This window comes from Homo sapiens, chromosome 19, assembly GCF_000001405.40.
Source record: "Homo sapiens chromosome 19, GRCh38.p14 Primary Assembly".
NCBI lineage: Eukaryota > Metazoa > Chordata > Mammalia > Primates > Hominidae > Homo > Homo sapiens.
Window position 1 is genome coordinate 13,478,169 of NC_000019.10, and position 17,817 is coordinate 13,495,985.

General features: G+C 45.6%; 1 protein-coding gene across 5 annotated transcripts in view, besides 3 other annotated features; it reads right to left on the bottom strand.

Moving 5' to 3' along the window:
- CACNA1A (calcium voltage-gated channel subunit alpha1 A) overlaps positions 1-17,817 on the bottom strand; it is a 300,038-nt gene that overhangs the window by 271,727 nt on the left and 10,494 nt on the right. The window lies entirely within an intron of this gene.
- Positions 13,684-14,296: an enhancer, noted in NCBI's record as "NANOG-H3K27ac-H3K4me1 hESC enhancer chr19:13602666-13603278 (GRCh37/hg19 assembly coordinates)". NCBI's record gives its function as "activates a minimal SCP1, AML or CMV promoter by ChIP-STARR-seq in primed H9 embryonic stem cells {active_cell/tissue: H9 hESC(primed)}" and the evidence as "EXISTENCE:reporter gene assay evidence [ECO:0000049][PMID:30033119]".
- Positions 13,684-14,381: a biological region, named in NCBI's record as "Sharpr-MPRA regulatory region 1233".
- Positions 14,087-14,381: an enhancer, noted in NCBI's record as "tiled region #1233; HepG2 Activating non-DNase unmatched - State 23:Low, and K562 Activating non-DNase unmatched - State 22:ReprW". NCBI's record gives its function as "activates a minimal TATA promoter and a strong SV40 promoter by Sharpr-MPRA in HepG2 and K562 cells {active_cell/tissue: HepG2 | K562}" and the evidence as "EXISTENCE:reporter gene assay evidence [ECO:0000049][PMID:27701403]".

Consider the following 17,817-nt stretch of genomic DNA (forward strand, 5'->3'; position numbering starts at 1 on the left):
CCACCCGCCCCCACAAAATAAACATGTCATTGTGATAAATGTTATGAAAGAAATGGGGTGAAGTCTAATTCAGACTTGGGGTGAGTTGCTGGGTCAGGAAAAGCTCTAAGGATGTTCCTTTTAAGAGGAAACCTAAAGGTTTTATTATTGTTGTTGTTGCTGTCATTTTTACAGACAGGGTCTCACTCTATCGCCCAGCCTGGAGTGCAGGACGCGATCACTCACTGCGGTCTTGAACTCCTGGGCTCAGGCACTCTTCCCACCTCAGCCTCCTAAGTAGCTGGAACTACAGGCATGCATTGCCACGTCCAGCCAATTTTTTATTTTTTTGTAGAGACGGGTCTTGCTATGTTACCCAGGCTGGTTTTGAACTCCTGGCCTCCAGCGATCCTCCTACCTCGGCTTCCCAAAGTGCTGGGGTTACAAGCGTGAGCTACCACACCTGGCCTAAAGGATTTATAAGGGTTCACCAAGTGAAGAATTGGGCAAAGGTATAAGTATTTCACAGCAGCTTTGTTCATAATGGCCCAAACGAGAATCAACAGAAATGCCAATCAACAGGTAAATGGATAAACAAACTGTGGTTATTTCCAGATGAATGCTATTGAGCAACAGAATGACAGAAGCCACAGTGCTCACTCATCCAACACATATTTATCAACTGCTTACTGCATGCCACCTGCTGATCTAGGCTGTTCTAGTCCACATTGGTGGGTAAAACCAAAAGATCAGGTGTGGTGGCTCACAGTAATCCCAGCACTTTGGAAGGCTGAGGTGGGTGGATCACCTGAGGTCAGGAGTTTGAGATCAGCCTGGCCAACATGGTGAAACCCCATCTGTACTAAAAATACAAAAATTAGCCAGGCATGGTGGTGGGTGCCTGTAATCCCAGCTACTCAGGAGGCTGAGGCAGGAGACTCACTTGAATCCGGGAGGTGGAGGTTGCAGTGAGCCCAGATCGTGCCACCACACTCCAGCCTGGGTAACAAGAGCAAAACCTCATCTTCAACAAAACAGAACAAAAAACGAATAAAATCACCTTCCCTTGTGGAGATCATAGTGATGTAGGGTGACAGATAGCAGACAGATGAGTAAGTAAGAAGGTGAAAAGTTCCAAAGGGGAAAATAAGGCAGAAGGGCGGGAGGCAAATGCTGAGAAGGTGGCCTTTGAGTGAAGTCCTGAAGGAGAGGAGGGAGAAGCCATGAGGTCACCTGAGAGAAGAACAATGCAGACAGAGGAAACAGCCAGTGCAAAGGCCCTGAGGTAGGACTGTGCCTGGTGTGTCTGAGGAAGAGTAAAGACAATGGCAGGAGCTGGGTGAGTGAGGCCAGAGATGCTCGTGGGCTTTTCCAAGTGATCTTCTCGGGCTTTCTCCCAAGGCAGAGAAAATCAGCAATGGGAAAGGAAAATGGCAACTTCTGGAGCTTGGGAAGAAAAGAGGAAAGAGGAAAGAAAAAACGAAGAGAGGGAAGAGGAGGAGGACAGGCCTGAGCTCAGAGTCCTGCCACCTTCACTCTTCATGTCTTATCAGACAAACAAGCCTGGAGTCAGGAGAGCCCATGTCCCAGTGGCCTGCCATGCTGTCCTAAAAGACAGACCAACAGAGAGAAAGAAAGGCTGGCCTTTAAGAAAGGAAGGGCAAAGAAGAACATAAACAAAGCAACAGAAAAAGTAAAGCTAATATATAATAACATATACTATACCAGCCGTTGACAAACTCTGGCCCATGGCTTGTTTGTGTAAACAAAGTTTTATTGGCAAATGGCCATGCCCATTCATTTACGTATTGCCTGTAGCTGCCTTTGCTATAATGGCAGAGTAGAGTGGTCCCAAAGAGACAGTATTTACTAGACATTTTCTAGCTAATCCTTTGCAGAAAACATTTTCTGATCCCCGTACTATAACAATAACATACAACTATATTAGCATATTACGTATTTGTAGCATATATAGTTGACCCCTGAACAACTCAGGTTTGAATTTTATGGGTCCACTTATGTAGATTTGTTTCCAATAACAGTTACACCAAGCGTGCTTGTCTTTCTGGCCTCCCCTTCCACCTCCACCTCTGCCACCCCTGAGACAACAAGACCAACTCCTCCTCTTCTTCAGCCTACTTAATGTGAAGACAATGAGGATGAAGACCTTTATAATGATCCCTTTCCAATTAATGAATAGTAAATATATTTTCTCTTCCTTATGATTTTCTTAAAATAATACTTTCTCCTCCCTAGCTTACTTTATTGTAAGAATACAGTATATAATGCATATAACATATAAAATCTGTCTTCATCGACTGTTTATGTTACTGGTAAGGCTTCTGGTCAAGAATAGACTGTTAGTAGTTAAGCTTTGGGGGAGTCAGAAGTTATACACAGGCTGGGTGCGGGGGCTCACACCTGTAATCCTAGCACTTTGAGAGGCTGAGGCAGGAGGATCACTTGAGCCCAGGAGTTCGAGATCAACCTGAGCAACAAAAGCGAGACCTTGTCTCTAATTTTAAAATTTCTAAAAAATAGAGAAAAAAAGTTACACACACATTTTTGACTGCACAGGAGGTCATTGCCCCAACCCCTATGTTGTTCAAGAGTCAACTATATTTATCTATGAATATATAATTACATAACATAAAATGGTTTATTACTATTATAAATAACATGCTGAGTTCTTACCATGTGCTGGGCACTGGGCTAAGCTTTTCTGCCTATGCTCTTGTATTGAATCTGATCAAAAACTCATCAGATTAGGACAATATTATTATTGTTGTTATTATTCATTGAGACCGTGGACTCCGAATCTAGATAGCCTAGGCTGAAATCCCACTTTTGTTGCTTGAGGGGTGCAAGACCTCAGATAGTGAGTCTCTCTCTCTGTTTCGGTTTTCTCTTTTTGTTACACGGGATGATAACAGTACCCACCCCTCAGGGCACTGAAAGGATGAGCTAAATTGATGCAAGCGAGGTGCCTGGCATATTGACCAGAACTCTCATTACCATGGCTGTCCTTATTTTACAGATGAGGAAACTGAGGCACGGGAAGGTGAAGTCATGGGCAGCCACCACTGCCAGAAGTGGAGAGCTGGCAAAGTTGGGGAGAGGGTGATAAAAACTAGGAATCACGGCTCTCATGATAGGTGGACCTAGAAGACAGCACTGGGGAACTTGGTCCTGTCTACCTCTCACCTCATTGTCCTAGACCTGGGAGTGGGCAGAAGGCAGGGACCTGCTGGTCAGCTGCCAGAGGCAATGAGGGGTTGCTCTTCCGTTCTCCATGGAGGGGAAGAAGGCCGGTTAAGCTTGAATGGTGGAAGCTAAGACAGTGACAGCCCTATCATCACAGATCCTTGGAGGAGTTCAAAGAAGTGGGTGGGGCGGGGAGGGGACAGACCATTGTTACAGCCGCTGGGCTGACCCTGGGGGCTGGAGATGAGGATGCACGGCCAGTACAGCTGGACCAGATTGGAGTCAGGCGGGCTCACACCATTGTTAACATGCCCAGCTTCAACGTCACTTGTATACCTACTTCTGGTTGCCAAGATAGGCTACAAAGAGGTAGGAGCAGGTGAGGGGCAGGTTGCTTCCTGCCCCTGGGACCCAAGTCCACCTCCCTGGACCCAGCCTGAGGGACCGTTTCTAGGTTTCACCTCCAGGAAAGTGACTGCTTGGTTCAGGCAGCGATCACTTGCTTTCTGTTCTGACTCCATCAAGGCATCTTTCCCCACCCAGCCTCAGGTTAAGGTGAGGGGCTTGCCAGGGGCACAGACTGCCTGCAGAGACCCCCACTATCTCAGTTCTACCTCATCTCCTGGAGAAGACAGCTATCCAAGCAGAGGACCCCACACTCAAGCTTGGCATAGAATTTATCTCCCTTGGAGAACACGGAAAGATTTTCACTTAAAGGGAAAGAATTTGCAGAACAAGGAAAGAAGTAAGGGAGAAAAAAAGAAGAGAGCAGATACTGGCATGTAGAGGGAACTAAGAACCAATAACCATCACCACCACTGCTACCACCAATAATAAGAATAGCAGTAAGGAGGCCGGGTGCGGTGGCTCACGTCTGTAATCCCAGCATTTTGGGAGGCTGAGGCGGGCGGATCACGAGGTCAGGAGATCGAGACCATCCTGGCTAGCAGTGAAACCCCGTCTCTACTAAAATACAAAAAAACTAGCCGGGCGTGGTGGTGGGTGCCTGTAGTCCCAGCTACTCGGGAGGCTGAGGCAGGAGAATGGCGTGAACCCAGGAGGCAGAGCTTCCAGTGAGCCGAGATCGTGCCACTGCACTCCCGCTTGGGTGACAGAGTGAGACTCCGTCTCAAAAAAAAAAAAAGAATAGCAGCAAGGCAAACCTTCTTTTTCTTTTTTCCACCTGAGAACCTAGTTTCACTTTGTGAAAAAGACAAAGTGACGTGTCCACTAAACCTTCTTCTCCATGGACTGAATTTCTCAGTTCCCCCTGCAGTCAGATGGACCATGGGTATTGGCTGTCTTCCATTACCCCAAATCCACTCTCCTTCCTTCTTTACCCTTCTAGGACTGTCACATGGGGGGCTGACCTGTGTGGATGGGCTCACTGGGCTCCCAGCCCTCTGGCTTTGGACAATGGGGGACATTTATTCTGCCAGCTTCCTGTTAGGAAATGCTCCCTCTCTCTCTTTCTCTCCCCCCTTCTTTCTCTCAACTTGTGTGTGTGTGTGTGTGTGTGTGTGTGTGTGTGTGTGTGTGTGTGTCTTTGTGAGTCTCAGTCTCTCTCTGTCTCTGCCTCCTTCCTCTCTTCCTCCTTCTCTATTTCAGTAAGGGCCCACACCTTTGTAAGCTATCTCTTAATTTGATTCTTAAGCTATCTCTTAATTTGATTCTTGGTCTGTGTCTTCCGTTTCCTACTGGGACCCTCTCTCATACACCATGGGATGAAATTCCAGTCCACAGAATGCAGGCAGAAGTAAGGTTCACTACTTCTATATGTGGCCTCCCAAAACTTCCTGTGTGAGCCTTCATACTCTTTTCCTACAGGCCGGAAGTGAAGGACTTTCTGATCTTAGGGGATGGTGGAGCCACAGATGGAAAGAGCCGGGTCCTGAAATCACCACATGGAATGCCACTTGCTGATTATCTGATTGGATTTAGGGTGAGTGAGAAGTACATTCGTATTGCCTTAAGCTACTGCAGACTTGGGGGTTGCTTGTTACAGCAGCAAGCATATCCTAATACACCTTTAAGAAGACTGCTCTTCCCCACTTGGAGAAGTTGGCTCCACCCCAACTCCATAAAGTCATGTGACCCAAGCCTAAGCCAATCAGAGCACCCCGTTCTCCACCTCCCATTTCCCCACAGTGATTGGTTCTGGCATGAGCACACGACCTCAGCAACAGCCAATCAAAAGCAAGAAAGCATTTGCTGAAAATTCCGGGAAGATAGCTGAAAAAGAGAGAAGAATCTCTCTCTGAATATGGTCTTGGGCAGACTGGAGGGCTGGAAGTGCAGCTAAGTCATGGATAATGGAGCCAGCTGCAAAAAGTAGAGCCAAGAAACAGAAACAGAGGCCTAATGGTGTTATCTGATCCCTAGATCCAAACAAGCCTGAAGCTGGACACTCCTGAGACTCTTCAGTCTCATGAGCCAATACAATCCCCACTTCTTGTTTAAGCCCCTTTGAGTTTTCCACCTCTTCCAAGTAAAGGGAACTAAGGGATTCACATAGGTAAATATAATGAGTCCACACCATGTGTCAGGCCCACTGACCTCACAGCAAGTCAACAGGTAGATATTTTTACTTTAATTCCCATTTTATAGGCAAGGAAATGGGGACCTTTTAAATTGGCCAGGAGCACCTCAGTAGGGAAATTATTTGCAAAAGAGTATGTTTGGGGATTGGGTGTGTGAGCTTGAGTAATTGGGATTGGGCTGAAAGTCCAGAAACCAATCCTGAAACCAACATCTTTTGTATGATTTCAAGAGTGCCAATTAACTTCCCCCGTTCTATAAAAAATGGAGATAAAAACCCTTCCACTTCTCCCCCACCAATTCCATAGTGTCGGTTTGGGTAACAAAGTAAGGTAACAGTTAAAAGGTGCTCTGAAGGAAAGGCTAGCAACTCATCCTTGCTGTTGTTAATAAACAGTCATTGTTGAATTGGCTCCAGAAACCCTGGGGGCCAGGGGCTGTCCAGTGACTCTCTTGGCCAGAATTCCAAAGACCATCTGTGGCAAATACATCCTCCAGAGCACATACCCTTGGCAGGATCACAAACTGCTTTTCTCACCCAGAAAACACAACCAGAAAAGAAACAGAGATAGAGAGAGGGGAGAGAGGGGAAAAATCATGCCAGCTCAAAATTTCTTTTAATCTGATCAATGATTTCCATCTCCACAGCCACCATGCCAGCCCAAGGCACACTTCCCTGAATGAGTGAAATCATTTCCTAATTGGTCTCATGGCTTTTTATTCTTGCTGTATTCCAATACATTCTCCATGCAGCAACCAGTGGAACTATTCACAGACATAAAATCATTGTATTACTGCTTCAGTAGCCTGACAGTGCCTTTAGGATAAATATCAAACTCCTAAGCACCTTCCACAGGACCTTTGCACATGCTGTTCCCTGTGGCCAAAACATCTTTTCCACCATTCCCACCCCTACAATAGCAGAGGCCCACTAAAGACTCAGTTTATCAGCACTTCCCTGGAAGATGTTGTTTCACATGTTTCTTTTAGAGCAAGCCAGACTTGTCCCTTTTTGCAAGGCCTATAACATTTTAAATTATAAGTAGTAATAACTATTTACATGTCATCCTTGCCAGACTGTAAACTCCATGAAAGCCATGATTGCATCTGTCATATCCGTCACTGTAACTCAGTGCCTGGCACACAGTTGGCACTCAATAAATATTTGTGGCTTCAAAGGTTGAGTATAAAAACAGACCAGATGAAAGAAGGTAAAAGTTAAACAGTCAAGAGGTTGTCTTGCAGATCATTGGGGCAAGAATGGGCTTTTTAATAAATGATGCTGGGACAATTCTTATGGAATAAAAAGGAAATTGGACCCCTACCTACCACCACATATAAAAATCAATCCCAAGCTGATTAAAGACATACAGTGAACACAACTGTAAAACTTTCAGAAATAACATAAAATATATCCATGGCCTCAGGGTAGAAATGATTTTCTTAAATAAGATACAAAGCCCACAAACTATAAAGGAAAAGATTTCTAAAATCAACCACATCAAAATTAAGAACTGTTGGTGATCAAAAGACATTATAAAAAAGATCAAAAGCCAAGCCAAGAGAAAATATTGCACAACATATAATGATGAAGAATCAGTTTCCAGGCTATGTAAGGATCACCCACAAATCAATATTTTTTTTTTAAAAGTGACCTAATCAAAAATGGACAGAGCATGTAGAGGCACTTCACAAAAAAGCAAGCTTGAATAGTCAATAAATATTTTAAACTATGTTCACTCTAATTTGCAATCGGGGGATGCAAACTAAAATCACAATGAGAAATCACCATGAGAAAGGCTATAACTTAAAAACCTGACAATACCAAGTGTTGGCAAGGTTGTGAAGCATCTTGAATGCTCACCCACCACCGGCAGGAGTGTAAATTAGCACAAGCACTTTGGAAAATTGTTTGGCAGTGTTTAGTCAAGGTGAAAATGTACAAATCTTAGTATCCAACAATTTCACACAGAGCGATGTGCTCCAGAGAGACCCCTGCAAGCGAGCAGCAGAATCCATAAACAACCAACAAAGCTGCTTATGCCAGTGCCCAAAAGAGAACAAAGTCACATGCTCATCATCAATGAATAAACAAGATCATGAAGGAGCTGCAGTGACCACAATGAGGATGAAATCTCACAAAGGTAACTGCAAACCAATGAAGCAAAATACAAAACAACTCCTCTCACATGATTTTATTCATATAAAACTCAAAACCACATAATATCTGACTATATTGCTTCAGGATGCGTACTTAGGTGGTACAACCACACAAGAAAGCAAGCGAATGGTTCCCATACAATCTCCAATAGTGGTTCCTCCAGGAGGGAAGGAGTGGCTGTGATTGAGGATGAGCATGAGGGAGAATCTGATGGTGGCCCTGTGGCTCTTGACCTGGGTAAAATGGGTGTACGCTTCATGGTTTGGTCTTTAAAATGTTCATCTATGTTCCTACACTGCTCTCTAGGTTTGTTCTGTCTCTCTCTCTCTCTCTCTGTCTGTCTGTCTCTCTCTCTCTCACACACACACATACACACACACGTCAGTTAAAGACTAAAAAAGAAAGAAGACACATACACCAACCAACAGTTTATGCTGAGAAAGAGAAAAGGGGAAAATACCCAGACAGAAAATTAAAAGATAACATAGACACAGGAAATGAAAAGAGATGACGAGTTGGCAAGACGGCGAGGGTAAGGAAATGAGAACTGGAGAGACAGAAAAAAGAAAAAAATAATAAGATGGTCAAGGATAACAGGAGAAGGGGAAGATACAAGAAGCAATATTCTCTCTCTTCTTTCTGTCTCTCTTTCTCTACCTCCATATCTCTCCCTCTCCTTCATCCCTTCCATCTTTGTCTCTCTCTCTTTTCCCTCACCATTGCCTTCCTTGCACTTCCTCCATCCAGGTCCTTCTCTCCCCTTCCATCTCTGTCTCTTTCTCACCTTCCACTTTTCTTTCTCTCTCATCTCTCTCTCTCTCTCTGTGTCTCCTCTTTGTCTCCTCTGTCTCTTCCTTCTTCCCTACACACGCAGCCTCTCTTTCTTTTAACACTTATTTATCAGGTGGCTACCCTGTGCTGGACACAGTGCTAAAAAAGAGGCCCTGGCTGGGGGAAATGGGATGGCATGGCCCACCGTGGTTCCCAAGCATCAGTGGCACGGACGCCTGCCCAGGGCGCCTCATCCCAGCTCCAGCATGGACCTGTGGGCCGCCTGCCACTCTCTCCCCATCATTAATTTCACTATCAAACACTCCCAGCATCACAAGTTGTAGGTCTTATTTATTAAATATTTAACTAGGAGAAACCCAGCTGAGATGAAACCTCTCATTTGTGGCAGCCACAGGAGAGCAGAACATGGACCTGCTGCTGGGATTAAGCCAGGCTGATGAGTAGAACCAGGGTGCCCAGAGGGGGAAACAGGTGGGGGCAGCCCCCAGTGGGGAGAGGAAGACCCAGAAATGCAGGGAGCTGGGCTTTCACACAGTCTCACCTGGATGGCGAGAGGTTGTCAGCCAGGGAAGGCGAGTTCAAAAACCCCCAAAATCAGAATAGGTCAATCTATACAGACAGAAGATTAGTAGTTGCCAGGGGCTGGGGGAGCGGGGAGAGACAGGGAGTGAGCGCTCAGTGAGTACGGGGTCTCCTTTTTGGGGTCTTTGAACTACAGAGAGGTGATGGTTGCACAACACTGAGTGTATTAAATGCCACCAAACTGTACACTTTAAAATGGTTAATGGTCAATTTTATGTTATGGGAATTTTATCTCAATGTTTTAAAAATTAAAAAAAAAAAAATCCCACACCCAAACCCATTAACCATTAGCTCTAAGGCTGCTGACCTCATTTTTTAAAATTCATGCTTATTACACAGGCACTGCTTACTATCAATCCAAGGCACTCGCTCAGCATTTTGGGTTTCTTTCTTTTTTAGAAATAGGGTCTCACTCTTGTCCCCCAGGCTGGAGTGCAGTGGCACCATCATTGTTCACTGCAGCCTTGAACTCCTGGGCTCAAGGGATCCCCCCACCTCGGCCTCCCAAGCAGCTAGGACTACAGGCATGCACCACTACACCTGGGTAATGTTTAAATGTTGCCCAGGCTGGTCTCAAACTCCTGGCTTCAAGCAATCCTCCCATTTCAGCGTCCCAAAGTGCTAGGATTATAGGTGTGAGCCACTGCATCTGACCCTACTCAGCACTTTGAATCATCCCATCATTTACTTCTCACAGCCCTGGGAGGGAGGTGCCAGCAGGTCTCTAGTTTTAGAGAGAAGGGAGCTTGTGGTTCAGAGAGGGTAAGTGGCTTGCCCAAGGTCACACAGCTCCAACTTCAGTCTACCTGCTTAGCCACCTAATGGGCTTTCTGCTAACTCTGGCTGAACTTTAGAAACCCTTGGGGAGTTTTCAAACATTCCCCACTCCAGGGGAAGCCCTGGACAAATCTCTCCAGCATCTGTGGGGGTGGAGCTTGGGGCATCAGCATTTTCCTTTTTCTTTTCTTTTTTTTTTTTTTTTTTTTTTTTTTGAGACAGAGTCCCACTCTGTCACCCAGGCTGGAGTGCAGCAGTGCCATCTCAGCTTACTGCAACCTCCACCTCCCAGGTTCAAGCAGTTCTCCTGCCTCAGCCTCCCAAGTAGCTGGGACTACAGGTGTGTGCCACCACACCTGGGTAATTTTTGTAATTTTTAGTAGAGATGGAGTTTCACCATGTTGGCCAGGCTGGTCTCAAACTTCTGACCTCAGGTGATCCACCCGCCTTGGCCTCTTAAAGTGCTGGGATTACACACGTGAGCCACCGTGCCCAGCCTCAGCATTTTTAAAGCTTCCAAGTGATTAGAAGGTGCAGTCAAGATCACCTGAGGAATCTCACTGAAGAGCAGATTGGGATTGAGCAGGTCTGGGGTAGGGGATGAGATTCTGCATTTCCAACAAGCTCCCAGGAGATGCTAATTCTGTTGGTTCAGGGACCCTGGCAACATGTCCAGTAGGATGCTCTAGATCTGCACTATTCAGCACAGTGGTCACTAAGCCACACAGGGTCATCGGGCACTTCAAATGTGGCCAGTGAAACTCAGGGACTGTTTTTATTGTAATTAATTTCTTTTCTTTTCTTTTTTTTTTTTTTTTTTTTTTTTTTGAGACGGAGTCTCTCTCTGTTGCCCAGGCTGGAGTGCAGTGGTGCAATCTCAGCTCACTGCAGCCTCTGCCTCCTGGGTTCAAGCAATTCTCCTGCCTCAGTCTCCCGAGTAGCTGGGACTGCGGGTGTGCACCACCATGCCCAGCTAATTTTTGTATTTTTAGTAGAGATGGGGTTTCACCATGTTGGCCAGGATGATCTCGATCTCCTGACCTCATGATCTGCCCGCCTCGGCCTCCCAAAGTGTTGGGATTACAGGTGTGAGCCACCACATGTGGCCTGTAATTAATTTCTAAAATTGCAATAGCCATGTGTGGCTACTGCCTACCTTATTTGGCAGCATAGGTCTCCCGGGCTCAAGAGATCCTCCTACCTCAGCCTCCCAAGTAGCTGGGACTACAGGCATGTGCCAACACCCTCGGCCAATTTTTGTATTTTTTTGTAGAGACGGGGTTTCACCATGTTGCCCAGCCTGCTCTCAAACTCCTGGGTTCAGCCTCTCAAAGTGCTGGGATTACAGGCACAAGCCATTGAGCCCAGCCTGGTCTGCATCTGTAAGTGATCCAAGACTATGGCCAAGGGTGAGACAAACACCTTAGGGGAGCAATGAAGAAATTAGGAACTCACTTGGGTCCTCCACCTTTCCTTTCTCAGCACTGGCCACCTGTTCAGGGGCCTTCACCTGTCCCCTTGGGTCTCCCCAACGAATCCCTGCTTCACTCCCCAGAGAGAACCATCAGAGCCTCCCCACACCAGCCCCTGACTTCTCCTACTCCTCAGATCACCCTAAATCAAGCCCACATCTCCCCTTGGGTTTCCTCCTATCTCAGTTTCTCAGTTGTATCTCCTGTCACCTCCAAATGCAGCTAAGATCACCTGGGAGATCTTTATTTTTGAGCCTTAGTACTTACCACACTCAAACTATCCTTTACCTGTTTATCTGGTCCTTGGACTCCCTCTCTCTCCCCACCCAGAATATCAGCCACACCAGGGCGGGGATTTTTGTCCGTGTGTTTATTTCTCTCTGTGTTTTGTCCATCTACGTCCCAGTGCCCATGCCAAGGAGGAAATTAAGAGCTTGCTGGTCATTAGAGAAAAGTAAATGACCAGCAATGACTACCTGCTGAGAATTTACTATGTGCCACGCATGATGTTTTACAGTCACCATCCACTTAATCCTTGCAACATTCCTGCAAGAAAATGCTACACTGCTTATCTTATAGATGACGAAACAGAGTGGTTAAGATTAGGTAGCTTCCCAAAAGCCACACCACCGATAGAAACCTAGTCCTAGCCCAGGCGTGGTAGCTCACGCCTGTAATGCCAGCACTTTGGGAGGCTGAGGCAGGAGGATCACGAGGTCAAGAGGTCGAGACCAGCTTGGCCAACATGGTGAAACTCCATCTCTACTAAAAATGCAAAAATTAGCTGGGTGTGGTGGCGCGTGCCTGTAGTCCCAGCCACTTGGGAGGCCAAGGCAGGAAAATTGCTTGAACCGGGAGGCAGAGGTTGCAGTGAGCTGAGATTGTGCCATTGCACTCCAGCCTGGGCAACAGAGCGAGACTCCATCTCAAAAAACAAAAGAAAAGAAAGGAAAAGAAAAGAAAAGAAGGAAGGAAGGAAGGAGAAAGAAGGAAAGAAAGAGAGAGAGAGAGAAAGAAAGGAAAGAAAGAAAGAAAGAAAGAAAGAAAGAAAGAAAGAAAGAGAAAAGAAAGAAAGAAAAGAAGGAAGAAGAGAGGAAGGAAGGAAAGGAAAGAAAGGAAAGAGAAAGGAAAAAGGAAGGAAGGAAAGAAAGGAAGGAAGAAGGGAGGGAGGGAAGGAGGGAAAGAGAAAGGAAAGGAAGGAAAGGAGGAAGGAAGGAAAGGAGTAAGGAAGGAAGAAGGAAGGGAGGGAGGGAGGGAAAGAGAAAGGAAAGGAAGGAAAGGAAGAAGGAAGGGAGGGAGAGAAAGACAAAGGAAAGGAAGAAGGAAGGAAGAAAGGAAGGAAGGAAGGAAAGGAAGAAACCTAGTCCTAGTTGAGCTCAGACTCTGTCCCTTAACCATCGTCCCGCGACATCTCTTGCCCACTCGCACACCAACCTCTCTGGAATGCAAATGGTTTCCCGGAGAAAACTTGAGTATTTTTCCCTCTGGGTTTTTATCCTTGCTGTGCCTTCACCTGTCTCATAAAGTTTCTCCATTTGCTAGATGTGTGACCTTGGCAAGCAGTGTTAGCTCTCTGAGTCTCAGTGTGCACATCTGCAAACTGGGGGCAAAAATAAGTGCCATGAGCTCTGGGGGCTGGGATGAAGTTCTCATAAACTGCCAGGGCAGTTCTATAAAGCTTAGGGGCTCATAAGCTCCCCACAGAGAGGAGCTACTGTTACTGTAACTATTCACCACAAAGCAGAGAGTTTCCATGTCCTCCTGGGACATGGTGCTTCCTCTTTATCAGGGATGGAGTGAAATCCTGACATGAGCAAGGGCAGGAGCCAAGAAAAGGGCCTTTCCGTCATGAATGTGGAAAATGGTCTGTTTGCTTTTCATCAGGTTTTGGGGGTTGGGGACATGGGGGATCCTGTTTGGTCAGTTAGAGGAGTTGCAGCTGGTCCTAAAGCTTGGAGAGCTTGCACTAAATCTTGTGGCTGCCATTTCGCTTTGAAATAAAGGGGCTGTCTAAGGGCCAGGTGTGGTGGTGCACACCGATAGTCCCAACTACTCAGGAGGCTAAGCTGGGAGGATTGCTTGAGCCCAGGCGGTTGAGGCTGCAGTGAGCCATGATTGCACCACTGTGCTCCAGCCTAGGGGACAGAGTGAGACCTCACCTCTAAATTTTAAAAAGGGCTTGTCAGCACCAACAGAGGTACACAGAGGCGCACACACACTATTGCACTGGGGAGGGAGGAGGCCGATACCTATAACACTAATACATCAGACTCTTATTTGGCACCCACTGTGTGTCAGGTACTGTTTTGAGTGCTGCTTTCCTCACAACCACCCCACAATGCAGGCACTAATGTTATACCACTTTTACTGATGAGGAAAGGCAGGCCCAGGGGGCTAAGTGATTTGCCTAAAATGATATGAATGGAAATAAGCAGAGTTGGTATTTGAACCTAGGCAGCCAGGCTCCACAGCCTCCCTCCCTCCACTACACTGGACTGCCTCAAGCCCCACACAGAGCCATGACATGCCTCAATTTCAACAGAAACTTGCTCAATCCCTCAAAGACATCGGTAAAGAATGTGCCTGAGAAAACAGAGGAAAGGATATCCAAACAGCCCACAGAGATCTGGAAAATGCTCTATGTCTTAAGTCACCAAAGAAATGCACAGGATACCACAACAGGATTTCACTTTCACTTATCTGATTGGTGAAGATGTAAAATCAAGGGAGGGCAAGCCTGATTGGGCCACGTCGTCAGGGAAAGGGGACCTTGGAATTTGAAAGGGCACAGACTTCCTGTTTCTTGCAACCTGGCCCAAAAGCCTGACATACAACCTTGCCATACCATTTCCAGGAATCTGTCCTAGGGAAACAGTGACAGAAGTGTGCAAAGACTTCTCTACCAGGATGCTCACTGCAGTGTGATCAGTGTTGGTGGAAAAACGGCTGGTCTCAAAACAAATATACAAAAGGAAGCCCATTTTTGTTATGAAAATCAAAAAGTTTAGGTATATCGGGGGGAAAAAAGGAGTGGTTATTCCATTTCCTTTGGAAAAAAACAAAATCCTCACCATAGTTCACAAAGCCCAGAATAAGCCAACCTTGTCACCTCCCTGCCCTCACGTCCTCCCATTCACCTAGCATACAGTAGGTGCTCAGTCAACATTTATGAATGAATGAACGCACTCCTTCCCATTCCCCTCCATCTCTAAGCTGATATGCTCCAGGGTCTCTCTCCTGTACGTTCCTAAGGGTGTGGGGATCAAGGGGATATAGAAACACAGTCCATACCAGCAGCATTCACCATGCCAGGAGACCAAAGAAAGTAAGGCACGATTTTCAAACAGGGCAACAGAAGGGGAAGGAGAGAGAAGGGGAGGCCGCCGCAGTTTTCATTCCAACATTTTCCAGCTCTGGGTGAGATTTCCTTCTATACACTCATCTATATTTACATCAACGAATCTGTCGGTAGCAAGCCTGTTGCTTCTTGTGTGGGATCTAAAGTTCACAGAAAGCTGGCTTAGACACCCAGCTAGGAAGACAAACTGTAAATTAAATTTAAGTCACCCAAAAACCCTAAATCCACCCACTCCTCTTGAAGAAACCCATGACATCGATTACATCAAGATTTCTCAACCTTGGTATTACTGACATTTGGAGCTGGATAATTCTTTACTGAGAAAGGCTGTCCTGTGCATTTTAAGATGCTGAACTGCATCCCTGGTTTCTACCAGCCAGATGCCAGTAGCATCTTGCCCCCTCCCCCTACATTCGTGACAACCAAAAACGTCTCCAGACATTGCCAAAAGTCCCCTTGGGGGAAAAATTGCTCCCAGTTCAAAAGCACTGCTTTACATGCAGCCCAGGAAAAATTCCAAACCATTTAACTGTTCTTTCTCTGTTCCTTGTCATCAACATCCTGAATATACCAGTCACCTGTTCTCAAAATTCCTTCTACAGATTCAAAGAAAGTGGTAACAGCAGAGTTTCAATTATGGGCTTGGAGTGCCATATATAGACAGGAATTTCATTCAGAAAACTATCAGAACCTTGGACAGAGATTCACACACAAAGATGTTTACTGCACTGTTATTTATAATGGCAAAACAAACAGCCAGAGATTGTTACATGAATATAATACACGTATAAAGTGGAACATTATCAGATATTAACAACAGTCTTTTCTGGGGTTGCCACCAACCCATACAGCACCACTGTATGAATTTAAACAAGACACCCCTTTCTCTGGTTGTGAAATTAAACAAGACACCCATTTCTCTGATTGTGAACTTAAACAAAACACCCCTTTCTCTGTCAAAAATTGTCATAATAGCTTCATCTTGCTAGAACAAGATACTTAAGCTTTTATCAGCTGGGGTACTGAAATAGTAGACATACAAGCTCCATGATACTTAAGATATGTGACATGCTATCTTTGTGCAGTGCACAACCTGTGCAACTATACATGGTGGCCCTTATTTTTTCAAGGATACCTAGTGGCATGGAAATGTGTTCCTAAAAGTTTACATGCATAAAAAGGTATGGGATGAAATACATTAAAATGTCTTCAGAGATTTTTTTGTGGATGAGAGAGTATACATATATTTTATATTCTTTTTTGTACATGAGATGTTCAGTAAATGAAAAGGATAGGCCTCTTGGAGGAGGTAACTTTTGGGCTGAGACCTAAATGAAGAGAAGGAGTTAGCCATGGGGAGACCTGGAGAAACAGTGATGCAGGCAGAGGAAATAGCTTATGCTGAACAGAAGGAATGTCATGTAATGCAAATGACATGGGTGTGAGTAAAATGGTCAGCAGGGCTGAGACAGAATAGACAATGAAAGGAAGGTAGACAATGAAAGAGATGAGATCAAAGACAAAACAGGGACCAGATCACATGGGGCCTTAAAGGACCTTGCTACATCAGTGTGTTAGTCCGTTTTCACACTGCTATAAAAGTAATTTATAAAGAAAAGAGGTTCAATTGACTCACAGTTCTGCATGGCTGGGGACGCCTCAGGAAACTTACAAATCATGGCAGAAGGCAAAGGGAAAGCAAGGCACGTCTTACATGGCAGCAGGAGAGGAGAGAGAGGAAAGAGGCCCACACAAGTTTAAAACCATCAGATCTCATGAGAACTCACTATCACAAGAACAGCATGGGGGAAATCACCCCCATGATCCAGTCACCTTCACCAGGTCCCTCCCATGACATGTGGGTATTACAATTTGAGATGAGATTTGGGTGGGGACACAGAGAAAAACCATATCAATCAGTAATCTGTAATCTCTGACTAGTGGGTAAGAATCTGGGGCATTTACCCAATCTGCTTGGAAGAGAAAGAGTCTACCAGTCCACCACCACATGCTATCCTATCCACCAATGGAGCAAAATCCAAGGAATTCCACTTTCAGTCCCAGTGCTGAAACAAAACCAGGTGTTTCCAGAATTTTAATAATCTTTGTTCAATAACACTGTTTACTTTCCTCACCATTACTCAATTAAATACTTATGCATGATATAGTGCAGGAACTTTGGGGGGATGTGAGGAAGGCAAATCACTGTCCCCTACCCTCAAGGAGCTTTCTAATTACATAGGTAAAACCTAAGCATATAATATTTATTTATTTATTTATTTTGAGATGGAGTCTCGTTCTGTCGCCCAAGCTGGAGTGCAGTGGCATGATCTTGGCTCACTGCAAGCTCCACCTCCCGGGTTCATGCCATTCTCCTGCCTCAGCCTCCCAGGTAGCTGGGACTACAGGTGCCCGCCACCACGCCTGGCTAATTTTTTGTATTTTTAGTAGAGATGGGGCTTCACCCTGTTAGCCAGGATGGTCTCTATCTCCTGACCTTGTGATCTGCCTGCCTCGGCCTCCCAAAGTCCTAAACATACAATCTTATTGATTTTTACAAAAGTGTGCAAAATTCACTTGATACTGGAAAAGGTACAAATAAGGTGGTAAGCGGAGAGACTTGGTCATTCCCAAGTCAAACAGAACACCAAATATCAGGGAGACCCACACATAGACAGCTACCCTACCATACACCCTTATATCCAACATCCACCCATCCACCCACCCATTCAACCATCTATCATCCACTCATCCACCCATCCAGTCATCCATATTTTTACCCCTCAATCCAGTCTAGTCATCTGCCTATTTATTCATCCAGCCATATATTCACTCATACACCAATCCATCCAGTCATCCATCCAGTCATCCATTCACCCATCCATTTGTCCACCCACCCATCGAGTCATCTACCAATCTACTTATCCACCCACCTACCCTCCAATCACCCATCC